Here is a 26710-nt window from a genome sequence, read left to right as displayed (position 1 = left end):
ACTGTTTTGCAGAAGCACATCAAGTTTATAGATTCTAAAGCTTCCTACAAGTTACCAGGTGCTGAGGGTCAGCTGCATTGTCCTCAGGCCATGAGGGGATGCTTTCTTCATTCTCTCCAGGCCAGGGCGCTCAACAAAAGGCACGATGCCCACATTTTCTGAGCCAAGCCTGGCACAAGGAGAGCGCTGCTTCTTGATTAAGCCAGAACACAGATTAAATGTTTAGAAGTGGAGATTGTGAAAACAACCTAGGCGGGAAAGCAATTATCCCAGGGACAGCATGGCTTCAGCTGAGGCCCTCTGCAGCACAAAGGTGAATTCCACACCCTCCCACAGCTAAGCTGGCCAGAATGCTCCTCTACAATTCTCCACTCTGTAGATGAAGCCATCTTTTAAAACGTAAACCAAATTGTGTCACTCGACAGCTTAAAACCCCTAATGGCTTCCCATGGTGCTAGGAATAAAGTTAAAAAATGTTAGGATTCTCCCTCCTCCCCGAAGCTGACCCCTCTGTCCTTATCAACTGTCCCCTCTTCACTCACCAAGCTCTGGCCATACATGACAAGTCTGTTCCCACCTCAGAGTTTTTGTTTTGGCTTTTCCCTTGATCTTTACTGCCAGTCCCACAGCTCTTCATATGTCTGGATCTTTCTCATCATTTAGTTCACAGCTCAAATGTCACCTCTCAAAGAGGCCTTCTAGAACCTTCCAAAATAAACAGCCACTGCTCCCCCAACACTATATTACATCAGCCTATTTTTTTCCTTCATATTCCTATTTGAAATTATCTTGTTTTTATTTATCTAGTATGTGTTTGCTTGTTTAGGTATTGTTATTCATTGTCTGTCTTGCCTCCCTGGATGTAAGTTCCATAAAGACAGGGACTACAACTATCCTGTTTAGCACTTTATTCCCAACGTCTAGTGTAATACCTTACATTTAGTAGGCATTTAATAAATATGTATGGAATGATTAAAGAATGACAGGTTCAATATGGAGCACTAATCCAAATGAAATTTGCTAACCGCCCCAAAATCTGGATTGTCTCACAGCCTGACTAGCAGCATATGTTACAATGCCCTAGAAACAATGGTAAACAACATCCTATTTCCTTACCAACCCCTGGTGAATGACTAGGAAACTATGGCAAAAGGAGATAAGACGAGAACTCACAGACTGTCAGAGTTGCAGAACTGGAAAGTCTGTAAGCTTCTCAAGCAAGGTTTTGCTCAAACTGTCCTTTCACAGGAGGATCAGATGGGCCAGATAATGGGCTAGGGCCAAAGGTTGGGTCTTAAAGGTCCAGCTAGGGTAGGGCACACCATATGAGGCACACTGTATATGGCAGCTCCCATCCCAACCATGCAGAGCCCTTAATAATAGACTCTGGGTTGGGAGCCACAGAGCACATGTACATATCAAGCCTAAAGAAACTGGTGTGTGTGTTGGAGAGGAGACGAAAGCAGAGGTAGGGTATGACAGAGAGCCAAGAGTCAGGCACAAGACAAGAAGTGAGCAGAGGCATAAACTGGTGAAGAACAAACATACAGGGTCTCAGGTGATCGATATAATTAGATTTCACGGGCCTGTGGGTGTGTGTATATGGATATAAGGCTGACTAAAAGATACAGGGTTAAGGCAATCAGACAGGTAAATGGCTACCTTCCAGAAAGATAAGCATCATGAAAGAAAGGAGCACCCCACAGAAGGCCAGGTTAAGCCCCTATTTGTGAGTGGTAGTTTCACTTGAAAGACTCATGATTAGTGGACAACAGTAATTGCTCAGATGTTCTCTAGTTCCCAGGATGGCAGTGGGGGGGGCAAAGAGATGCTAGAGGAAAAGCAACATGGAAAATATAGACTACTCAGGCTAAAATGATTTCTAGTATCTCACAGACTTCGGAATCTAGCAACAGAGCTCTAAAAAGTTTTGCAGTTCATCCAAAAATGACCAAGAATACGAATGCTTCATTCTTCCAACAACCTCAACTTTTCAAAACACCATTAAAAGAATGGGCAAAAAAGGCCTTAGAGGTTAGATATCATATCAAACAAACAATAACACTAAGGAGTGACAGCTGACACCAAGGAAAAGAATGTAAACTACACAAAGTAGGCACAAGAACTCAAAATCCCTACTATTCCACAGTGCAGAAGTAAAAGCTTTCCAGATTTCAAAAGGTCATGAGAGAATTCAGGCACAACTAACATGTATTCATAATGATGCTCCTGAGATCACAGTGTGTCCTACTGAGAAAGGCAAGAATGTTCATGTTTTAGAAAGCTCTCCATACAAAATGATGAAAAATACATGTTTTGCACATGGAAAAGAGGACGCATAATCAAGGACACAGCACTGCCTGACCCCGATTTTGTCACCAAGTTGTTGGGGTGCTAAAGTTATTTCCCTCTCTGGGCTCTCTGGTTTACCCATGTGTACAAAGAAGAAGCTGGAATAGATCGTCTTGCCACTTAAAAGCTTCAGTTACCTGGAAAGTCTGTTTCTGAAGGGCATCACATTTTCCAAAGACACCAGAGAAACAAGAAGTTAGTACAATTCAATACAATCTGTGCCACCTTTTTTAAAAAAGGAATCTCATTATGGGTTTCTTTCAGCTACAACCCTCAATCAATCGCAATGTCTTTTTCGTGTCCTCCTTTATTGCCGAGTTTCACTATTCTGTTAGTCCTTCGGCATCTCTACCTTCCCTTGCCCAATAGAGGTACTCCTGGCCAGAGCCCCCATTACGTGTTTCAGCTTCTCTGTGAATAACTATGCAAGCTTGAGATGCTCAAAAGTTTCCCCCATCATTAATCCTATTATGGAAGCATTGATGTTGAGAGCGTCTGCTAAAAGATAACATGACAAACTGTAGCTACAATTTGTTTCTTTTTATACAAAGCTGCAAAGAAAATCGCATTCCAACATTATATACCAGCAGAGGACTGGTGTGCTGCTAATGTTTAACTCTATCAAGGATCCCAAAAGAAAATTTAAACTGAGATGCTCTTAACTGGAAATAGGGGATTCAAATAAAGAAATGTCATCAACCCTCAATTTTATGTATTAACAGAATGAGCACATGAATAATGCCAAACATGAAGCTAGAATCTGCACTAAAAATAATGCCAGCAAAACTGTTCAAGAATCAATCATGCCTGCTTTTGGAATAAAGTCAGATATATTCAGAGAGAAGCATCATGATACTCTGCTTGGTTTCAACTCCCTCTTTTTTTTTGTTTGTTTTTTTGGACGGAGTCTTGCTCTGTTGCCAGGCTGGAGTGCAGTGGCGCGATCTCGGCTCACTGCACCCTCCACCTCCCAGGTTCAAGCAATTCTCCTGTCTCAGCCTCCTGAGTAGCTGGCACTACAGGTGCATGCTACCATGCCCAACTAATTTTTGTATTTTCAGTAGAGACAGGGTTTCACCATGTTGGCCAGGATGGTCTCGATCTCTTGACCTCATAATTCGCCCACCTCGGCGTCCCAAAGTGCTGGGATTACAGGTGTGAGCCACCGCGCCTGGCCAGTTTCAACTCCTTCTTAGTTCAGTGACTCTAGATATTGCTGGGTAGCTGTTGAAAGGAAGTACAAAGAGCCAGTGCACATAATCTGCTTACAAGCAGCTGATAATCCAAAGTGAGTTAAAAGATAGAAAGGCACTGCAGTAGTCTCACTAGATCCTTCACTGAACTCCAGGATGAAGAAAAGCTAATTTCCATTTACCAACCCACAATGGAGCTGGAATTCTAAAGTTTAGGCTAAAACATTTTCAGATCAGTCACTGCTGGAATTCTATGGAAAAGAAACTAGTTCTGAACTACAAGCATACCTCATTTTTTTCCCCCTTTGCAGATACTGTGCTTTTTACAAATTGAAGATTTATAGAAACCCCGCATCAAGAAAGTCTATCAGCTGGGCGCGGTGGCTCACACCTGTAATCCCAACACTTTGGGAGGCTGAGGTGGGCAGATCACTTGAGCCCAAGAGTTTCAGACCAGACTGGGCAACATGCCAAAACCCCATCTCTACAAAAAATACAAAAATTAGCTGGGCATGGTGGCACACACCTGTAGTCCCAGCTAATCTGGGATTGCTCGAGCCCATGAGGTCAAGGCTGCAGGGAACCATGATCCTGCTGCTGTACTCCAGCCTGGGCAATAGAGCCAGACTCTACCTCCAAAAAAAAAAAAAAGAAAGTCTATCGCTGCCATTTTTCCAAAATCATGTGTTCACTTCATGTCTGTGTCACATTTTGACAATTACTGCAATGTTTCAAACTTTTTCATTATTATCATATCTGCTATGGTAATCCGTGATGAGTGATCTTTAATATTACTACTTTGTTTTCAGGCACTACAAACACGCCCACGTGAGACAGCGAACTTAATGAATAAATGTGTGTGTTCTGAGTGCCTCAACCAGCCTTTCCTCTTTCTCTCTCTCTCTCTCTCTCCTCAGGTCTCCCTATTCTCTGAGACACAACAATACTGCAATTAAGTAATTAATAACCCTACAATGGCCCTAAGTGTTCAAGTGAAAGAAAGAGTCTCACATCTCTCACTTTAAATCAAAAGCTATACATGATTAAGCTTTAGTGAGGAAAGGATGTTGAAAGCGGCAATGGGCCGAAAGCGAGGCCTGTTATACCAGACAGAAAAGCGTGAATGCACAGGAAAAGCTCTTGAAGGATATTAAAAGTGCTACTCCAGTAAACATATGAATAGTAAAAGAGCTAAAGAGCCTTACTGCTTATATGGAGAAAGTCTTAGTGCTCTGGACAGAAGATCAAACCAGTCACAACATTCTCTTGAGCCAAGCCTAATCCAGAGCAAGGCCCTAACTCTCTTCAGTTCTATGAAGGCTAAGAGAGGTGAGGAAGCTGCACACAAAGTTTGAAGCTAGCAGAGGCTTATTCATAAGGCTTAAGGAAAGAAGCCACTTCCATAACATGAAAGCGCAAGGTGAACCCAGAAGTGCTGATGTAGAAGCTGCAGCAAGTTAGTCAGAAGAATTAGCTAAGATCATTGATGAAGGTGGCTACACTAAACAACAGATTTTCAATGTTGACAAAACAGCCTTCTGTTGGAAGAAGAGGCCATCTAGGATTTTCACAGCTAGAGAGAAGTCAATGCCTGGCCTCAAAGCTTCAAAGGACAGGCTGATGCTCTTCTTAGGGACTAATGACTTTTAAATTGAAGCCAATGCTCATTTAGCATTTTGAAATCCTAGGGCCCTTGGGAATTATGCTAAATCTACCCTGCCTGTGTTCTAGAAATGGAATAACAAAGCCTGGATGACAGCATATCTGTTTACAGCATTGTTTACTGAATATTTTAAGCCCACTGTTAAGACCTACTGCTCAGAAAAAAAAAAATTTCTTCCAAAATATTACTGTTCATTGCCAATGCATCTGGTCACCCAAGAGGTCTGATGGAGATGTACAAGGAGATGAATGTTAATTATATGCCTGCACACACAGCATCCATTCTGCAGCCCATGGATCAAAGAGTAATTTCAACTTTCAAGTATTATTCTTTAATATTTAAGAAATGCATTCATAAGTCTATAGCTGCCATGGATAGTGATTCTTCTGATGGATCTGGGCAAAATAAATTGAAAACTTTCTGGAAAAGATTTATCATTCTAGATGCCATCAAGAACATTCATAATTCATGGGAGGAGGACAATATATTAACATTAACAGGAGTTTAGAAGAAGTTGATTCCAATCCTCGTGGATGTCTTTGAGGGGTTCAAGATTTCAGTGGAAGAACTAACTGCAGATGTGGTGGAAACAGTAAGATAACTAGAATTCGAAGCAGAGCCTGAAGATGTGACTGAATTGCTGCAATCTCATGATCAGACTTGAATGGAATGTTTCCTAAGGATAAGCAAAGAAAGTGGCTTCTAGAGATAAACTCTACTCCTAGTGAAGATGCTGTGGACATTGTTGAAATGACAACAAAGGATTTAGAATATTACATGAACTTAGATGATAAATTGGCAGCACAGTTTAAGAGAACTGACTCTAATTCTGAAAAAAGTTCTACTGTGGGTAAAACGCTATGAAACAGCACAGCTTGCTACAGAGAAATCTTTCATGAAAGGAAGAGCCAACAGATGGAGCAGACTTCATCGTTGTCTTAAGAAATTGCCACAGCCACCCCAACCTTCAGCAAACACCACCCTAATCAGTCAGCAGCCAGCAAAAGGAGGCAAGACCCTCCATCCACCAGCAAAAAGATAACTTGCTGAAGGCTCAGATGATGGTTAGCAGCTTTTAACAACAAAGCATTTTTAATTAAAGTATGTGCATTGTTCAGATACAATACTATTGCACACTTATTAGGCTGCAGTATAGTATAAACAGAACTTTAATATGCACTGGGAAACCAAAAGATTTGTATGACTTGCTTTACTGGAGTGGTTTGGAACCAAACCCTTAATATCTCCAAGGGATGCCAATATTCAGCTGAAATACTAAAGAGGTAAATGGCTGACCTTGGAGAAGGTAAAAGCAGTATCAGAATTCCTACTACATCTTCTCCTGATTCCAATTTCTCTACAGCTACACAAGACTCAGACCAAACCCAACCACTTCCTTTAGGGACACTAAGGGGAAAAAAAGACAAAGGAAGGAGTAATTTGTAAACGAGATTCTTGGCGCTAGAAAATAGGAAAACTGAGATATCTTAGTAATATTAAAGAGACCACGGGAAAATAATTACTATGGTGATGACATAATTCTTGATATAATAAAGTTGTATTTTAACCTACTGTGAACATTTCTATACTGTAGCATGTGTGGGTAACAAACTGTTCTCATTTCTTTATACAGGATTCTGAACCTTAATCTCCAAGGGACCAATGACCTTGGGAATACTGAGGCAATTTTGTAGAATTAAAAAAAAATTTTTTTTTGCCATGTTGCTGTAGCATGCGTGTTGTTAGTAATGAGATAAATAACGAAAATTAATGGGTAACACTTACTGGGCACTCACTATGTGTCAGGCACTGTACTACTTAGCAATATCCAAATTGTCTCATTTAATCCTTTATTTTTAAGAAAGATGGTAAAGCAGAAATTTTTTTAAAGATGGTTGGGCAGAGATAGACACTATTATACAATCTCTATTTTAAAGATGAAGACCTGAGGCTTAAAGAGGTTAATTAATGGACCCAAGGTCACATAGCTAGCAAGTAGCAGAGCTGAGATTCCAATGCAGGCCATCTGACCCAGAGTTCATGTTCATGCACTAAGCTAAACATTAAGGGATGCCTAACAGGCTTTGAAGTATTTTCTCCCACAGTGCTGACAAGCTATTGTGAACCATCCACATTCTCCAATGAAGTCATTTTTATATACGAAAACTTCTCTAATTGGTTAAACCTTATAAATTCAATCCCTCAATTTAAACAATGACAACTACTGAGAGACTGCAGAAAGACATGGCTGTCTTCACCAAATTCACCTTCAAAATTAGCAAGGCAACTTAGTAAGAAGACCTGTCTCCAAGGAAGCTGAACTAGGTAGGACTGAAGTCTATGACTGAAGAACAGTGTTCTCTGTTGGCCTCTGTTGGATCTCACCATGCCAATATGAGATCCACAATGATAAAAGTAAGACCACCCAGGAGGCTACTTATTTGACAGTCTTCCCTTTTTTTTTTTTGAGACAGGATCTAGCTCTGTCATCCAGGCTGGAGTGCAGTGGTGTGATCACCGCTCATTGCAACATCAATCTCCTGGTCTCAAGCAATCCTCCCACTTCAGCATCCCCAGTAGCTGGGATTATAAGCGCGCACCTCCAAACCCAGCAAATTTTTTTTTTTTTGAGACGATGTCTCACTGTGTTGCCCAGGCTGGTCTCAAACTCCTGAGCTCAAGAGATCCTCCCACCTCAGCCTCCCAAAGTGCTGGGATTACAGGTGTGAAGCACTACACCCTGTCAACAAAGTTTTAAGAGTCTAAACTAAGGTGGTGGCGGTTGGAACAGAAAGGAAGGGATGGAGAGAAGACTCCTGAAGGTGCAGCGCTCCCTCCATAAAGCCTTTTCCAACTTCCCAGCAGTAGAGCTGCTTGTGTCTTTGTGCCACCACATCTTGTTCATGGCACCATAACAGCCCTGACAGCACTGACACTCTATACTTGGATTTCAAATCTGGGGTATACCCCATTAGACTGCAAGCTCCAGGAGAGCAAAAACTGTGAGTTAATCATTTTCATATCCTAACACCTTCTTTACTCTGAGAGAGAGGCAGGCTCTGTGCTCATGAGCCTGTACCAACCATGAAGAAAAGAACCATGGCCGGGCACGGTGGCTCATGCCTGTAATCCCAGCACTTTGGGAGGTCGAGACAGGTGGATCACCTGAGGTCAGGAGTTCGAGACCAACCTGACCAACACGGAGAAACCCCGTTTCTACTAAAAATACAAAATTAGCCAGGCGTGGTGGCACATGCCTGTAATCCCGGCGACTCAGGAGGCTGAGGCAGGAGAGTCGCTTGAACCCAGGAGGCAGAGGTTGCAGTGAGCCGAGATCATGCCATTGCACTGGGCAACAAGAGCAAAACTCTGTCTCAAAAAAAAAAAAAAAAGTAAAGAACCTTGTCTTTCATCTTTGAGCCGTTTCATCTTTGAGAAATAGTTCCAAGGCTCCTTTCAAGTCTGCTGAACATCAACACCCCTGACTGAAATGCAAAGCTGGCCATGGGGATAGGCAGGGGAGGAAGCAGAGAATTATGTGATATCTGAACATCTGGCCAGAATGTTCAGTACACACACGAAACATTAATCAGGGACGGTGAACTAAGAGCTGTCTGCAAAAAGATGCTGAAAGGAAAAGAATGAATGAGTTCTTCTAAAATGATGAAGAAGAGAGTTACAGAGTCAAATTCTAGTGAAGATTCCAGAATAATGAGGCCCAAGAAAATCTTTGGCAAAAGACAGCACTGACAAGTTCAAGAATGTAGGTTTTGGACATTCTACAAAATAGCTGACCAGTACTCTTCAACATGAAAGATAACGGAAGACTAAGGAAATATGACAAACATTATGTGGGATCCTGGATAGAAACCTGGAACAGAAAAATGACCAGACATCTCTGATGGCATGTGAATTAAGTGTGCAGTTTAGTTACTAGTATTACACGAATGTTAATTCCCTAGTTTTGATCTTTACATAATGGTTATATGAGATGTTAGCTTTAGGGGAAGCTGGATGAGGAATATACGGAAACTCTACTATTTTTATAATTTTTTCTAAGTTTAAAATTCAAAATAAAAAGTTAAAAAGCAAAGAATATAGGTTTTGTAGCAAGAGTGGCAAGATATGATAATAAAGAAGAGGAAAATGATTAAGCAACTGAAGTATCAGTTGTGAACCCAATTTTCTTGAAGTCTGACATGAAAGCACAGAGATGTAGGCCAACAAGCTAACAAGATAGTAGAACAAGAGCTTTCCAGAAGGGGAAACAACCAGGGCATATACAAAGGCATGTCCCAGTTCATTCAATCATTAAACAACCATGTATTAGACATTAACTACAGTTGAGATGCTCTGCTAGGTGCTGGTCCTTGCCTCTAAGTCTACAGTTTAGTAAAAAGTGTGTGTAAGGAGGCATATAAATAGAATGTGTTTTGTAAGTGTGAGAAGAATGGGCCAGAAGAAAGAGATGATGAGAAGAACGCAGAGGGAGGAAGTGAACTTAAGGAAAAAAATCACTCATGAGATGAAAGAGAAAAACAGTCTGAAATGTTATCAATGAGAATAGCTCTGTATCTGTTCTGGTCCTCCTTATCTGTTAGAGTCACACTTCCAACAAAAAGTAACTTCAAAATGTACTAAACTGACATGCAAAAAGAGCCTATATAAAATGACTTCATGATTAGAATCATATTCTTAGGGCTACTGGGATGAGGCCTTCACAGAATGAAGGATGTATCTGAGCACCAGTTTTCAGATTTTCAGTAATGTTTCTTATACACACAACAACAACAACCAAAAAACCCATATAACAGAAAAACTCAATTACGAAATTACAATGACTACCTTATGAGGCACATAATAATACAAATGATAAACTCACACAAGAAGAAAATAATGCTTAATAAAGCAACCTTGAACTAGTATTTAATATACCTAGTAGATTAGTGGAAAAAATAAATTATGAACTAGTACTATCAAGATTGTAATAAAACTGGGGCCAGCCACAGTGGCTCACGCTTGTAATCCCAGCACTTTAGGAGACTGAGGCAGGAGGATAGCTCAAGTCCAAGAGTTCAAGACCAGCCTGGACAACACAGGGAGGCCCTGATTCTATTTTTTAAAAAAAGGTTGTAATAAAATTGGAACACACACAAACAGTATACTGTTAGCACTGTAAAACAACCAATGATTCATTCCACGTGCGTACGATGTATTACGCCACACATCTGCAGCTGAGATGAGCGTACAATGTATTACGCCACACATCTGCAGCTGAGATGAGCGTACGATGTATTACGCCACACATCTGCAGCTGAGATGAGCGTACGATGTATTACGCCACACATCTGCAGCTGAGATGAGCGTACGATGTATTACGCCACACATCTGCAGCTGAGATGACCCCCATCGTCTCCGACCACTCCCTGCTTTTTACCCATTGCTGCATTTACCCTATGCTTTGAACATTTCACTACCCTGCTTTTGCTCTTAATAATGCCAGTCAAGAATCACTGTCCCCAGTGTCCTTTACCACCCACAGAATCCCTACCCATTCATCAAGGCTAGGATTCCAGTGTCATCTCCCTTTTCTTCAATGACCAAACCAAATCCATCCCCATCGATATATCCCCTTTCCATATCCAACCGTTCCTTCCATTGTGCTCCCATAATACTTTTATTCATAGAGTTAGTTTTCTAAATGTCTGTCTTGCTCCTTACATTATGAATTCTTCTTTAATGTCCATGGTCCATGTCATAATAATTTTAGTGCATGCAATACTTGGCACAGGAGATGGCACATGGTAAATACTAATGACAGATGGGAAGGAAAAAAATGCTACATGAACAAAGCACTTCACTACAATGTTATCTCCAAGAACAAAAACCGGAAAACCACCTAAACATCCAATTGTAGAAGAACAATTTAGGGAAAATGGTCTATCACTCAAGCAAAAAGTATGCAAATATTAAAAATAACATGAAGGAGATGTAGAAACACAGAAAATATTCCTGGCAATGTTAAATTAAAAACATAGAACATAAAGTAGTATATATGCAATGGTTCTAGCCTCACAAAATACGTAAGGACTGTGGGAACAGAAAAATATTGATTGAATTAGGATAATAGTTTTCCTCTTCTCAAGCATTTTCTTTAATACTATTTCTATCACTTTATTATCATTTAAAATTTTATTTCAAAAGAAAAAACTAGGAGGGGGAAAGGAGCAAGTTTAGATATTTCTGTAAGCTCCTGCAATCCAAGAGATATGCTAAGATATTACTGATAGAGGACAAGAGGAGTGGGTGTCTGCAATATCACCAAAACCAAGGGTCCCTTAGCCTCAAATTTGCCTCAAAAAGAATACATCTCATGTCACAAGCCATACTAAATGTGAATTCTTTATTGGAAAACTTCAGAGGTAAGAACTTTTTCCAGACATCTGTGGAATCAGATTTAATGAGAGTGCCCTGGAGTTCATATATGCGCCTATGCCAGCAGAAACTTCTCAGCCAAGGCACTGCTGGGCACACTTCTTGATGAGATGTCTAAGCCTGAAGGCATCAAAAAAGTACATTTCCATATTGGGAACATAACTGGTTCCCTCTTGAAGACTTTTTCCACCACCTCCTGCCCATATTGTAATTCTCCTGTCTTCTCAAATGAATAGTTAACATATGTCAAGGATATACGGCATATACTGAGGCGCTTAGTGCCTATCTCTATTACTTGTAGAAGAACCAATCTCAGCAGAAAATTGGAATCTTCCCACCAAGTCGCCCCAAAAATGAAATGTAGTAAGCACCCAAAAAATGTTAAATACTTTTAATAAACATTTCTTGACACTGCATGATATTTTTCCTGGCTTAGTCTCTGAATTTTAGAAACGGCATCCATCTTAGTCTCTGAATTTTGGAAATGAAAAGAACCAGAAGTCATATCGCTCAGTCTCCTCATTTTACAAGCGATTGAAAAAAAATGATGTATAGAAAGGGAAAGTGACTTGTCCTGAGTCACCCAGATAAGTAATGATAAAAGTGGGATTAAAACCCAAATCTCCCAGATTCTCAGCCCCACTCAGTCTACCACATGAAGCGTTTTTATCCCTTGAAATCTCTGGAGCCCCGGTCTAAATAATTAGTACCACAGAATTTTAAAGCTAGAAGGGGCCTCAGAGAGAGTCGCGTACTTAATCCCCTCATTAGGCATATGAGGAAACTGAGGCCCAGGAAGATTAAGTGATTTGCTCTCAATATCTTGAATGGCAGGGAAAAAGTACAACTTAAGCTCAAAAATCTGCAAACCAATGCCCACAAGAGAGGAAGAGAATGTCTCAGCTGGGGAAAATTTTTCAAGGAAGGGAGATCATTTTAGACCAGGGGATCACAAAGTACAGCATCAGCATCACCTGGGATCTGGTTAGAAATGCAGAATCTAAAGTCCCACAGGAGACTGAATCAAACTCTAGGGATGGGGATGTTCAAATCAGACAATTTTGTTCCCTTATGTCCCTGAGAAGCAAACTTCAGTGGTCGTACTGAGTCTACTTTGTAAATGATAACTATAACCAAAGGCTCATAAGATGTATGTATTATTCAACATGTGGACTATACTTCAACTTTAAAAAGTTTTCAAATCTGAAAACAAAATGGAAAACTACCTCTGAGTGTTCAGCTGGTTTCAGTTCTGGCCCTGCTCCTTACTGGTTGTCTGGCTTTCGGCAGGCAGCTTGACCTCCCTAGGTTGAGTTTCCTTTCCTATAATACAGGCATGCTGCCAACCTCAGAAGGCATGTTGAGAATTAAATGTGATAACTTGTCTGAAAACACTTTGGTTCTGCATCTGGCATATAGCAGGCAGGCAGTATGGCACAGTGGTTAGGAGCTCCAACTATGAAGTAAGACTACCCGGGTACCCTGGACTTGCCTCTACCTAGCTAGATGCCTTAAGGTAGGTGCTCTTTTCTGTACCTCAGTTTCCTTATCTGTACAACAGGGATTAACAACAGTACCTTCCTCATAGGGTTGTTATGAGGATTTAGATAGATCATGCTGGTTAGTAAAGCATCTTTCATGTCTATAAAATGTTACTGTTTTCAAGGAGTTTTTTTGTTTGTTTGTTTTTTGTTTTTGAGACAGGGTCTTGCTCTGTCACCCAGGCTAGAGCACAGTGGCATGATCTTGGCTCAGTGTAACTTCTGCTTCCCAGGCTCAAGTAATCCTCCCTCCTCAGCCTCCTAAGTAGCTGGGACCACAGACACACACCACCATGCCCAGCTGATTTTTAAACTTTTTGTAGAGACAGGTTTTCACCATGTTGCCCAGGCTGGTCTGGAACTCCTGGACTCAAGAGATCCGCCTGCCTTGGCCTCCCAAAGTGCTGGGATTACAGGGGTGAACAACCACGCTTGGCCTCAAAGAACTTTTGCATCCATAAACTCATGACTTTCTGCAAGAGGATGGGTGCAACTGATTATGAACTACATTCCAGCCTTTACCATCTTTTAGGAACAGGAAGAGTGGACATGGATCTTACAAAAAGAAAACTGAATGAACAGAACACATGGGGAATGTACAGAGTTGGAAATAAGGAGACCAGGATTCTGAGATAAGGGCCAGGTGGTGTAAGGAAGCCAGGGCCTGAATAAGGTCCTGAGGTGGATTTTGGGACTGGTGCTGCTTTCCAAGCCTTAGACCATGATTCTGAATTTGGGTTCTGAAACTTAGCCTTGAATTGAGGATATTTCGCTGAGCAAAGGCCTAGAGCTGGTTTTTGGTGCCTAACGGGTGGGCCTCTCACCTCTCGAATGGTTCTAGCCGGCCAATTAACCAAAGTGGGGAACCTGCGATGGGGAAGGAGATGCTCCTGGCTGGCCAGCTGGACATGAGCATGCCCGCCCTAGGCTGGCGAGATCAAAGTGCTCTCCAGTAGCAGACTTAGGAGGTTTCAGCCCTGTTACTGGTTCAGTTCAGTGTTGTCAACCTGAATTAAATGAGTTCTAGTATTGTAGTTCCTTATTGTGCAACCAACATATTTGCATTTTAAAACTCTTAGATTGAACCCTCAGATACAATAGAAAATGTAAAGGCCAAGATCCAGGATAAGGAAGGCAAGTAATATTTTGCAGTTCAGGAAAATTAGCCTGTGGCAACCCCAATCTACCTGTAGGCGCTAGGCATATTTGCTCTTGGTGAGGGGGAAAGGGGTCAGATTGACAAAATGAAATACTTTTGGAATAACACAATAAACAAATGTTTATGATCACGAAGCAAAGCTACCTAGATTGGAATCCTTGAGGTACATTTCACTTGTGTGAATCTGGACACGTTTTTTATTCTCTATACCTATTCCCTCATCTTTAAAATGAAGGTTCCTATATTAACATATTAAGTACTGCCATTAAGATTAAATGTGGTAAGATGTGTAAACATTAAAAAATAATAATAAGGAGACCAGGATTCTAGTTTCAACTCTGGCCACCATCTTGGCCCACAACCTCAGGTGAGTCCCTTTATCAGACTAAGGTTCACTTTCATCCATGAACAAGTGGGTTGAATGAAGGTATCTACCGTATCTCTCAAAGTCAAGGTCTTTATCGTGGCCCACAAGGAAGGCCTACATAGTCTTGTCACATGCCTACATCTTCAGCTTTGTCACTTACCATTCCCCTGCTCACTTCCCGTTTCAGCTACATAGATCCTCTTTCTGGTCCCCTATGAGGCTGCACCAGCTTCTACCAATAGCCTATGTCCATACTTGCTGTTCTTGCTGCCTCCATCATTCTGCTCCCTTCACATGACTGGGTCCCTCTCAACCTTCAGTCCTTTAATGCCCATTCCTCTGTGTCCTTCCTCGACCACATTACATAAAGTAAAAGGTCCTGTCCCCAACTCCCAGGGGTTATTTTCGACAGGAGTGTTGTCCAATAAAAATACAACAAAAGCCACAAACAAAACACCTAACTTTACATTTTCTTTCTTTTTTTTTTTCTTTGAGAGAGAGTTTCGCTCTTGTTGCCCAGGCTGGAGTGCAATGGGATGATCTCAGCTCACTGCAACCTCTACCTCCCAGGTTCAAGCAATTCTCCTGCCTCAGCCTCCCAAGTAGCTGGGATTACAGGCATGCACCACCACGCCCGGCTAATTTTTTATATTTTTAGTAGAGACATGGTTTCTTCATGTTGGTCAGGCTGGTCTCAAACTCCCAACCTCAGGTGACCCACCCGCCTCAGCCTTCCAAAGTGCTGGGATTACAGGCATGAGCTACCACACCCGGCCCACTTTACATTTTCTAGTAGCCACATTTTAAAAGTTTTTTAAAAAGCAACATTAATTTTAATAATATATTTTCTTTAATCCAATATATCGTAAGTGTTATCATTTATTCAACATGTAATCAGCATAAAAGTTAAGGTACTGTACATTATTTTCACGTGGCCAGGGGCAGTGGCTCACGCCTGTAATCACAGCACTTTGGGAGGCCAAGGCTGGCAGATCACCTGAGGTTGGGAGTCAAGACCAGCCTGACCAACATGGAGAAACCCCATCTCTACTAAAAATACAAAAATTAGCCAGGCGTGGTGGCGCATGCCCGTAATCCCAGCTACTCAGGAGGCTGAGGCAGGAGAATCGCTTGAACCCAAGAGGCAGAGGTTGCAGTCAGCTGAGATCTCACCATTGCACTCCAGCCTGGGCAACAAGAGTGAAACTCCATCTCAAAAAAAAAAAAAAAAAAAAAAAAAGATATTGTACATTATTTTCATACTAAATCTTTGAAATCCAGTGTGTATTTTGCACATGTAGCAGATCTAAATTCGAAACTAGTCACATTTTAAGTATTCAATAATCACATGTGCCTAGTGGCTACTATACAAAGCAGTGCAATTTTATAGCATACTCTGCTATATTCCCTTCCCAGCACTTACCACAAACTGAATGCATTGTTTACTTATTATCTTGTAACTTCCCACCAGATGCTCCACAAAAGCAAGAATCTTGTCTTTTATTCAGTGTTGTATACCCAGTGGATAGACTGCCTTGCACACAGTAGGTGTTCAATATATATTTGTTGAGCAAATGAATGAAACTCTTCTAGCTTTAATGGGCTAGCCATTCTAGAAATTCCAAGCCGGCATACAATCACTGATTTAATAACTTGCCTATTTCCCTTCATCTTTCACTATCAATTAAACTGTCTTTAAAAGAAAAATCTCTTGGCTATATAGCTCCCCATTGCTGAACTGTTCTTTCCCATGATGTCTTAAGCGTCCAGGGTCAATTTCTTGTACTTTGGCTGAGGGAGTGGTATGAAAATAACTGCTAATATTTACTGAATGTTTACTCTTTGGCAAGCATTGTCTAAGGACTTTCCATTTCTCAACAGCTTCACAACAGCCCTGTGAGGCAGCTACCGTCACTGTCCCCCATTTACAGATGAAGAAACCAAGGCAGAGAGAAATTAAGTATTTTGTTCAAGGTTACAGCAGCCAGTTAGTAGCAAAACAGAGACTGCCAGCAACCTAGGGGTCCAGACTCATGGCTCTTAATCACCTATTCTTGACTGCAGGGCTGTCTAACAAAAATATAAGCTGAACTATATATGTTGTTTTAAATTTTCTAGTAAACACATTAAAATGTCAAGAGGGGCAGTTAAAATTGGTTTTAAACATATTTTATTGGCTGAGTGTGGTGTGTGGTGGCTCATACCTGTAATCCCAGCACTTTGGGAGGCCAAGTGGGAAGACTGCTTGAGGCTAGGAGTTTGAGACCATCTTGGGCAACATAGCAAGACCCTGTCTCTACAAAAAATTTAAAAATCAGCCAAGCATAGTGATGCCTGCCTGCAGTCCTAGCTACTTGGGAGGATACCTTAGACCTAGGAGTTTAAGGCTACTGTGAGCAATGATTGTGCCACTGCACTCCAGCATGGGCGACAGAGCAAGATCCTGTCTCTAAATAACAATAAAATAAAATTTTAAAAATTAATTAAGTATATTTTATTTCACCCATTATCCAAAATATGATCATTTAATCAATATGACCAATAACCAATGTAATTGATATAATCAGTACGATCATGTAATCAATATAAAAATTTCACTTTTTCCATACTAGTCTCCAACCCAAATGTGTCTTTATACTTACAGTATTTCTCAATTCAGACTAGTCACATTTCAAGCAATCAACAGCCTATGTGGCTAGTGGCTACGACATTCGGCAGTGCAGCTCTACTGCTCCTCGCAATGACCCTCCTATGGAATCAAAGTGGGGGAAAAACTTTGGGGTGGAAGTCAGTACGCCTGAGCTCAAATTCCAGCTCCTTGTTTCTGAGTGACTTTGGACAAGCCCTTTCTGCTCTCTAGGTCCCATACAGTTTCCCCACAAGTTTCCTAGGCAAGGGGGACCCTGAGCAAGATTCCTAGAAACTCATTCCATGCTAGAATTCCCAACATCTCCTGCAAATCGCAGTAAACACAAGCACAGCTTTCCACACTTTAAAACCAGCTTTCATACATATCAGTTGGTACAGTCCTCAAACAACCCTACTAAGGCAGTTATTAGTGTCTCCACTATATAGATACAAAAACTTGGTTCAAAGAGGGGGGGAATGACTTGTCCAAAAGCCACATAGCCAGTCAGTGGAGAAGCTGGAGATCAAATCCAAGTGAGACCAGTGCACTCCCACCGCCGCCACCACCATCACCTCAATGACTGGGGGGACATGAGAGCTGAGAGGACATGGTTGTGAAAAAAAGGATAGTCTGGGGTTTCAGAGGAGTTTCAGGGAACCAGGCCCCAGGGTGAGGAAGAGGAGGTGAAGGGCTCAGGTCTTGAGAAGGGATGAATCGAAAGGGCCCAGGAGGGCTTCGGAGAGCAAAGTAAAACGAGGGGCTGAGACCCCGGGTGGCATGAGAAGTTAGAGGGCCCGGGAGTGAGGCGAGAGGAGGTGAGATGAAAGGGCTCTGGCTCCTGCGACCCCTGCCCAGGTGAGAACGCGGTCGCTCGGCCCTCCCTGCCCCTCATACCTGGTAGCTCAGAAGTTCGCCCACGTCCATGGTACCCGGCCCAGCAAATACTCCACTTCCCTGCACTCACGCCCAGACCGCGGGCCCGTCAGCCGCGGCTCCAGCCACACTGCCGTAAAGTGCGGCGAGCGGAGCCGCAGAGCCAATAGGGCAAAAGTGCGAGCGACAAGCGAGCCGGCCACACCGCGGTAAAAGGACGCGCCGCCGTAAAGCGCGCTGCATTTGGAACAGGGTTGCTTCCGCCTGGAGCCTGAGGGGGCGGGGAAAGGGGGCGGAGACTTAGAGGAGGGGCGGGAGGGGAGAGCAGGGACCAGAAGAAACCAAACTTGATTGCGCGTCCCTAGTGTCCAGGGCGGAGTGCCGGGTGTTTCGTGTGCGCTCTCACGAGCTTCCAGTGATTTATCCTCATTTCACAGAAAAGGAAACTGACGCTCCCAACTGCACCATCCAATACTTTACTCACTAGCCACATATGGCTACCGAGCGCTTGAGATATGGCTACTCCGAAGTGAGATGTGCCATAAGTGTAAATAAAATACACACCAGATTTCTAAGACTTACATTGATTACAGGTTGAAATGATATTTTGGATATACTGGGTCAAATTCATATATTATAAAATGAATTTTACCTGTTTCTCTTTACTTCTTAAATGTGGTTAGTAGAAAGTTTTAAATTACACATGTGGCTCTCATTTGTGGTTCCCATTAATTTCTATCAGATAGTGCTGGCTCAAAAAGTGACTTGTTCCAAGGCTGTACAACTATTACTGGCTGAGAAACTATTGGTGATCACATGTCCCTCTCTAGGCTTGTGTCTGCTCATCTATGCGAAGTCTAACGGTCACTAGATGATCCCCTTGCTACCCAGGTGATATAAAAAGGTTTCTGGAGGAGAAAGTTGCCCATAATTGGAAGAGAATCATTCAGAGTGCATCTGATCTTAAACAAGATCAGAATGCACCTGGGACTTAAGGCTCCATCTTCAAAGGAAATTAAACCTCCTTCCATAAGCCCCTGTCCTTTATATTTATAATTATATTTATGTATTATATTATATTTATATGCCCTTCATATTTATAATTTTGGTCCCCATCCCATCTGCACTGGCTCCAATTATACAGAAATTATTCTTATTCCTCAGAATGACAAATCCTCTCCCCTTCTGCCTGGCCATCAGCACCATACCTCATCCAATTCTCTCATCTTTCGGGTCTCAAATGTCACTTTCTTACAAGGGCTTCTTCAACTCACCCTGGTCCAGGTAATCAACCTCTCTCCTCATTATTCTTTTTCCAAGTACCTGCTCCACTACGTATATATCTCATTCTGTAATTTTGTGCTTAATGGTTGACTATTTGTTTCTTGACAGCCTCATTTACTGGATTGCAAGCTCTATGCAAGCAGGACATGTGTGTGTCATGTTCACCACTGTATCCCCCAAGCCTAGTACAGTGCCTGGTAGAGGGAGAGGTTTCATAATGGGCCTTGTGTGCCATGGTAAAGAGATTAGATTTTGGCTAGGCGTGGCCGGGCGTGGTGGCTCACGCCTGTAAGCTCAGCACTTTAGGAGGCCAAGGCGGGCAGATCACTTGAAGTCAGGAGTTTGAGACCAGCCTGACCACCATGGTGAAACCTCGTCTCTACTAAAAATTACAAAAATTAGCTGGGCATGGTGGCACATGCCTCTACTTGGGAGGCTGAAGCAGGAGAATCGCTTGAACCCAGGAGGCAGAGGCTGTAGTGAGCTGAGATTCCACCACTGCACTCCAGCCTGGGTGACAGAGCAAGACTCTGTCTCAAAAAAAAAAAAAAAAAAAAGAGAGAGAGATTGGATTTTATGCTAACGGCATAAGGAAAGTTTTAAGCAAGGTAGTTTTGTGACTGGGCTTATGTTTTTAAAGGATCACCTATGCAATCTGCATTGAATTCAGTCTATTTGGGTGTCTTTCCCCCTCCTACTTATATAAGAATATGGACTGTGCCCGGCCGGGTGTGGTAGCTCACGCCTGTAATCCCAGCACTTTGGGAGGCCGAGGAGGGCAGATCACGAGGTCAGGAGATTGAGATCTTCCTGGCCCACATGGTGAAAACCCATCTCTACTAAAATACAAAAAATTAGCCAGGTGTGGTGGCACGTGCCTGTAGTCCCAGCTACTTGGGAGGCTGAGGCAGGGGAATCGCTTGAACCAGGGAGGTGGAGATTGTAGTGAGCCAAGATGGCACCACTGCACTCCAGCCTGGCGACAGAGCAAGACTACGTCTCAAAAAAAAAAAAAAAAAATAGAATATAGACTGTGCCTTGTTTGGGAAGACAGGAGAGAGTAATGGTGAGGGTGTACCCTTTGGACCCAGACCCCTGTGTTCTAGTTCATGGTATGTTGATGCCAGCTTGCACAGACAGGTCTACAAAAGCCCATGGTTAAATTTGTAGGAAACTTGCAAGCTGATTGACACCAGGTTGATAGCTTGAAATCAGCCATGCTAGGAGTATTTGTACAATGTAAATCAGCAAATGCTACAAATCAGGGTTGTTAATGTTGTTGTTTTTCCAGAGAGCTACTTGTAGGGTTTTTTTGTTTCTTTGTTTGCTTTTGAGACAAGCTCGGGCTCTATCACCCAGGCTGGAGTGCAGTGGCGGGATCTCAGCTCACTGCAACCTCCCCCTCCCGGGCTGAAGCCCACCTCAGCCTCCCAAATAGCTAGGACTACAGGCGTGCGCCACCATGCCTGGCTTATTTTGTTGTTGTTGTTGTTGTTGCTGTTGTTGTAGAAATAGAGTTTCACCATGCTGCCCAGGCTGGTCTCAAACTCATGAGCTCAAGCAATCCCCCCGCCTTGGCCTCACAAAGTGCTGGGATTACAGGCATGAGCCACTGCACCCAGCCGAGCCAGTTGTTAAACATCTACCCAACACACCCTGATTCTGGTTCTAGTGGAAGTTCCACCATATCTAGCCATGGGTCCTTGGGTAAGTTACTTTCTCTGTCCCTAAATTACACTTTCCTTATCTGTAACATGACTCATTCATTCATTCATTCATTCAACAAGTATTTACTGAGAGCCTACTCAATGCTAGGCACAATTCTGGGCTCTGAGGATATGGAAGTTTATAAAACAAAGCTCCTGCCTTCTGGAAACCTACATTCTAGTTTGGGTGAAAACCTCATGGAGAAAATGTTGATATGAGTCTTATTTTACAGATGTGGAAACAGTGGCAATGAACTTCACCTCTACATGCCTGATTTTCTCACCTGCAAAGTGGAGATTCAACCAAATCTACCTCATAAGGTTATGGAGGGTTTACATGAAATGCTGTATGCAAAGCACTTGGCACAGTGCCTGGCACAGAAAAGTGCTGTGTGTCTTATATTAATATTGTAAGGAGTTGGCAGCTGGGCACGGTGGCTCATGTCTGTAATCCCAGAGCTTTGGGAGACCAAGGCGGATCCCTTGAGCCCAGGAGTTCGAGACCAGCCTGGGCAACATAGTGAGACCCTGTCTCTACAAAAAAATAGAAAAAAAATTTAGCCAGATGTGGTGGCACGTGCCTGTAGTCTCGGCTACTCAGGAGGCTGAGGCTGGAGAATCACTTGAGCCCAGGAGGCAGAGGTTGCAGTGAGCCAGGATTGTGCCACTGCATCCTGGGTGACAGAGCAAGACCTTGTCTCTCAAAAAAAAAAAAAAAAAAAAGAAAGAAAAAGGAGTTGAGTGGGATAGGGGCAAGGGAGAGGGCAGGAAGAATGAGAGAATTCCTTATAACCTTTCCTTTTTAGGCAATCAGTCTTGTCTGTTTTTGTAGAGACCAGTTCTAAAACACAGAATTATAAGGCAAAATCCTATAAGAACCAGGTTTGGTGAGCACCCTGAACTGGGGCTAATGTGCTCTGCTAGAGGTTTCCCTGAGAACGTAACATCTGGACAGGGGTTTAAAGGGAAAGAAGAGTTTACCAAGAAGATACAGTGGGAGAATGGTGACCCAGGCAGAGGGAACAGCATGAGCAAAGACAAGGCAATTGGACCCTTCCTTGTGGACAGAGCTTCAAATGTGTGGAAGAAAAGGTGGAGAGGCTGGCTGGAGAAGATCACGAAGAGGGTTAACAGATTTAGCAAATAAAAATACAGGACACCCAGTTAAATCTGAATTTCAGACAAATAATGAATTTTTTATAAATTTGTCTCATGCAATATTTAATAACATACTAAAAATGTTTTCTGTCTGAAATTCAGAATTAAATGGGCATTATTTATTTTATCTGGCAACCCTAATCTTGGAGAAACTTGAATGCCAGATTAAGATATTTTCATTTTATCTTGATGAGAGGGTCCATTAATAATTCTTTGGGAACCCCCAGGAATGAGACTTGGGGCGCTCACCCTTCAGGTCTCAGCTTAATTGCACACATCAGAGGAATCTTTCCTGACCACAAGATTTAAGACAGTTCCTCCCCTTCAAGATTCTCTATCAGCATTCCTGACCATTATTATCTTCAGAACACTTATTGTTTTTGTTTTTATATTTGTTTGCTTTTTACCCATTTGTGGACTGCTTTCCCTTCCAGATTCTAAGCTCCAGAAGAGCAAAGATTGCTGTATCATTTACCACAGTAAACTCAGAACCTAACACAGTACCTGGCACTTAATTGTTACTCACTAAATAGTTGTTGATTTAATAAATGAACCAACTAATCTACTGATTGATTGATTCATTAATTCCTGGTCATAACAATCTCAAATACCTTCAAATTCTCACCCAAAGGCCAGGTGTGATGCCTCCTACCTATATAATCCCAGCACTGTGGGAGACCAAGACAGGAGGATCCCTTGAGGCCAGGAGTTTGAAACCAGCCTGAGAAACAAAGTAAGACCCTGCCTCTACAAAATAAAAATAAAAATATTAGCTGGGTATGGTGGCATGTGCCTGGAATCCCAGCTACTCAGGAGGCTGAGGTGGGAGGATCACTTGAGCCAATGATGTTGGGGCTGCAGTAAGCCAAGATCACACCACTGCACTCCAGCCTGGGCAACAGAGCAAGATCCTGTCTCAGAAAAAAATTTTTTTTTTACTTCTCACCCAAAATCCTAACAATGTGACTATTTCAATTTTAAAGACAAAAAAAGGAATGCTCAGAAGAGCTATGTGCTATGCACCAAGCAGAATGAAATTGTGACGATAATGATTTCAGAGTGGCATCCAGGAGGGAGTTAGGAGAAGAGCACCATTCAAGAGACCAACTGCTGGGCTGTAACCTTTAAAAAAAATGTGGAAGAATTACCCCTTCCAGAAAGCTTTTAAATAGCCATGGGCTGCCTAGGTTCCTTAAACTTCACACTTTAGATGCTCCAAAGTGTAATCAGAGTCACCTTCTCCATTTTTCATTGCCCAGTAAATTATTTATTGGAAGAGCCTTTAAGAAAATATTCTCAAAAACACACTTATAAAATATATTTATCATCAATATTGAGCTCCTACCCTACAATCTTGGGTTGATTTGAAACATACGAGACTGCTGAAGAAATCCTGACTCTTCCAATCAGTACCTGAATGGGTGGGGAAGAGTTACAGAGTGGGCAATGGAAAGGGGAACCTGTTTTCTGGGGAGCAGAATGCAATTTCTGGGGCTCAGGAAGAGTCTGTTCCCTCTGCTTCTTATTCCCAACATCCAGGTCCATGGGTCCCCTGTACTGTCATATTTTTAAATAATTGTGAAAACTGAGATCTGGAGTTTAGCTCCTTGCCCACAGTCATAGTTAGTAACTGGCAAGACTCCAAACCAAGTCTGTCTGACTACGTGTTTCACAGTAGGGATTTGGGCTCAGTTAACCTTTCAAATAGTACTGACACTTATGATCCAGGCACAGGAGATTATTGACTGCTAACGAGTAATTATCTCTCCCAGCAGGCACAGGTCTCAATTAGACACAAGGAGAATTTATGTTCCTAGACAGACTGTGAGCCAAGTAAAAACTCGATAGTCATGGATATGCAACGAAAAGGAATTATTTGGTGTGGGAGGGAAAAAGAGTCTGAGGTATGATAAAGGAATTGTGATTGTGTTAAGAGTCCTCATCTTTTTAAGATACATACTAAAATTTATGTATGAAATAATGTGATGACTAGAATTTGTTTCAAAACTGTCAGAGGTGGGAGAGGTATGGATTTGAGTGGAAGTATAGATGAAAGAATTATTGGTGAGTTGTAATTGCTGAAGGTGGGTGACAGATACATTGGAGCTCATTTTACTATTCTTCTGGAAATAGGATGGCAGCAGCAATTCCAAGAACAACAACAGCAAGAAGAATAAGAGAGATCATCTTTTCCTGGGGCTCTCTCTTAGAAAGAAGGGAAAAGGAATGCTGGTAAGGACCAACTATGTCCATTGCACAAAGAAAGTATTCCATGGCCAAGAATGTTGAGCTGTAGAGCAGCCTGGGAAGCATGACAAAACCCCATCTCTACAAAAAATACCAAAATTAGCCAGACGTGGTGGTGCCTACCTGTAGTCTCAGCTACTTGAGAGGCTGAGTAGGAGAGGTGGAGGCTGCAGTGAGCTGTGATTGTACCACTGCACTACAGCCTGGGCGATGGAGACCCTATCTCAAAAAAAAAAAAAAAAAATGTTAGGCTGTCAACCCCGAGAAAGCCAATTTTGAAAAAGAAATTTAAAAAAAAGATGTTGAGCTGGAAAAACCATGAAACCAGACTCACAATGACTCATAAGAATCAAACAAATTTCATAAACCCTAATTCTGAGAAGTGCCAGTCATCAATGCCCCATACCAATGACCCTCATGAGTCAGACCTTTCAGAGATGCTTTAGTATGAAAGGATAGGGAGAACTATTTGTGCTATTACCATTTGGGGTCAGTCAAAGGACATTGGTCAAGACCACTTTTGGCTTGGGAAGTAAGCAGATTCCTTAGCTAGTGAGCTGAATCGGCTGTTTATTACACAGCCTTGGCACTAAGTATGTGTATTAGTTATCTATTGCTGTGTAACAAGTTATCCCAAAATTTAGTGGCTTAAAATAACTAAGAACATGTATTATGTTACAAAATTTTGGTGAATCAGGAATTTAGAAGCAGCTTAGCAGGATAGTTCTGGCTTAGGGTCTCTCATAAAGTTGTAGTCACGATGTCATTCACTTCCAGGATGGCTCATTCACATGGCAAGTAAGTTGTACTGGTTGTTGGCTGGAGACCTCAATTCCTTGATGCATAGGTCTCCTTACCAGGCTGGCTGAGTGTTCTCATGTGGTGGCTGACTTCCTCCAGAGCAGGTGATCCAAGAGAGAACAGGACAGAAGTCAGTGTCTTTTGTGATCTAGCCTCAGAATTCACAGTCCATCATTTCTATGATATCCTATGGAGTGTTCATTACACTCAATGAACTCAGGCCTGTTCATTATGGGAGGGAACCACACAGGGCATGAATACCAGGAGGTGAGATTCACTGGGACCATCCTGGAAGTGGAGGCTTCAACTCCAGTCAAGCCTTCAGGTGACTGCAACCTCATGAGACATACGAAACCAGAATCACCCATCTAAGCCGTCCCTAAATCCCTAATCCACAGAAACGGTGAGATAATAAATGCTTTTTGTTGTTTTTAACCTCCTATGTTTTTAGGCAATTCATTGTGCAGGAAGAGATATACAAAGTCCAAGCAGGTTAGGTACCAAAAAGTGACATTTCTGTCTTGGTAGCCGCTGTGACCTATTGATAAACAGAGCAATTGATAAACACCAATTAGATGCCCTGAATCATTCCCAGCAGCTATCAGTGAAATTAACACCAGCAACAATGAAAGCAAAGAATGTTCCTGCGCCTCAGATTGGGAAGAGGGGCAGCTGTTAAACTCACATCTTCTCATGGAGACTCATTATGCACATGAATATATGAGAAGCTCTGTGCAGTCTTGTAGGAAGAAAACTGTTTAACTGTTTCACCCAATGTTTTCCAAGTCCATTTGATAACAGAAGCCATTTTTCATCTAACACCTGTTAGCATCCTGTGGAACTAGTGTTATGAAAGACACATCTTAAGAAAAACCCATCTACCTCAACCTCAGAAGTTTCAGAAAATTGTGCATCTTTTCCTGTTCTTTCATTTTATTAAAAATAAACCTGACATTGAAAACATAGAAATCACAAGTTTTTGTTTAGAAAAAAATTAGCCAGGTGTGGTGGTGCACACATGTAGTCCCAGCTACTCGGGAGGCTGAGGTAGGAGGATGGCTTGAGCCTGAAAGTCAAGGTTACAGCTAGCAGTGCCACTGCACTCCAGCCTGGGCAACAGAGTGAGACCTTGTCTCTAAAGTAATTAATTAAATGCCTATGTATATATTTAAAAGATCTAAATTTTTCCAAGCCTGACATTCTGAGCACTTACATGATGCTACCTTGATGTTCATTAACTTTCTCTGACCCAAGAGCTTCCACATGCACCAGTAAAATAATCTCAGCCCAGCTGTCATGAAC

General features: G+C 42.1%; 1 protein-coding gene and 1 long non-coding RNA gene across 5 annotated transcripts in view, besides 2 other annotated features; one reads left to right on the top strand and one right to left on the bottom strand.

Annotated features, from left to right (window-relative positions):
* CTNNBL1 (catenin beta like 1) overlaps nt 1-18356 on the bottom strand; it is a 178089-nt gene extending 159733 nt beyond the window's left edge. For 2 of the 3 annotated variants that reach the window (NM_001281495.2, NM_030877.5), the window contains exon 1: nt 18234-18356. Coding sequence is in view for 1 of the 3 variants with exons in the window: in NM_030877.5 (NP_110517.2) it covers nt 18234-18263 (30 nt within the window). In the remaining 2 variants the exon portion in view is untranslated. Of the gene's footprint in view, nt 1-17352; nt 17460-18233 lie in introns of all 3 variants that reach the window. The other variant, XM_024451947.2, reaches the window with a different exon arrangement.
* Nucleotides 14886-15035: a silencer, noted in NCBI's record as "silent region_12893". NCBI's record gives its function as "represses an Ori minimal core promoter by ATAC-STARR-seq in GM12878 lymphoblastoid cells {active_cell/tissue: GM12878}" and the evidence as "EXISTENCE:reporter gene assay evidence [ECO:0000049][PMID:35858748]".
* Nucleotides 18019-18078: an enhancer, noted in NCBI's record as "active region_17850". NCBI's record gives its function as "activates an Ori minimal core promoter by ATAC-STARR-seq in GM12878 lymphoblastoid cells {active_cell/tissue: GM12878}" and the evidence as "EXISTENCE:reporter gene assay evidence [ECO:0000049][PMID:35858748]".
* A 2753-nt stretch (nt 18357-21109) lies between the features above and the next one.
* Nucleotides 21110-26344, top strand: LOC105372609 (uncharacterized). Of its 2 annotated transcripts, XR_936703.1 has the most exons (4): nt 21110-21203; nt 21436-21523; nt 24494-24592; nt 25860-26344. It is a non-coding gene; the product is annotated as an uncharacterized LOC105372609 (long non-coding RNA). The 2 variants fall into 2 exon arrangements; XR_936704.1 differs by lacking the exons at nt 21110-21203; nt 21436-21523 and adding an exon at nt 24150-24264.
* Nucleotides 26345-26710: the final 366 nt, after the last annotated feature.

This window comes from Homo sapiens, chromosome 20 (genome assembly GCF_000001405.40).
Source record: "Homo sapiens chromosome 20, GRCh38.p14 Primary Assembly".
NCBI classification, from domain to species: domain Eukaryota; kingdom Metazoa; phylum Chordata; class Mammalia; order Primates; family Hominidae; genus Homo; species Homo sapiens.
Note: the sequence above shows the minus strand (reverse complement) of the source record. Positions and strands in the feature narration are given on the sequence as shown.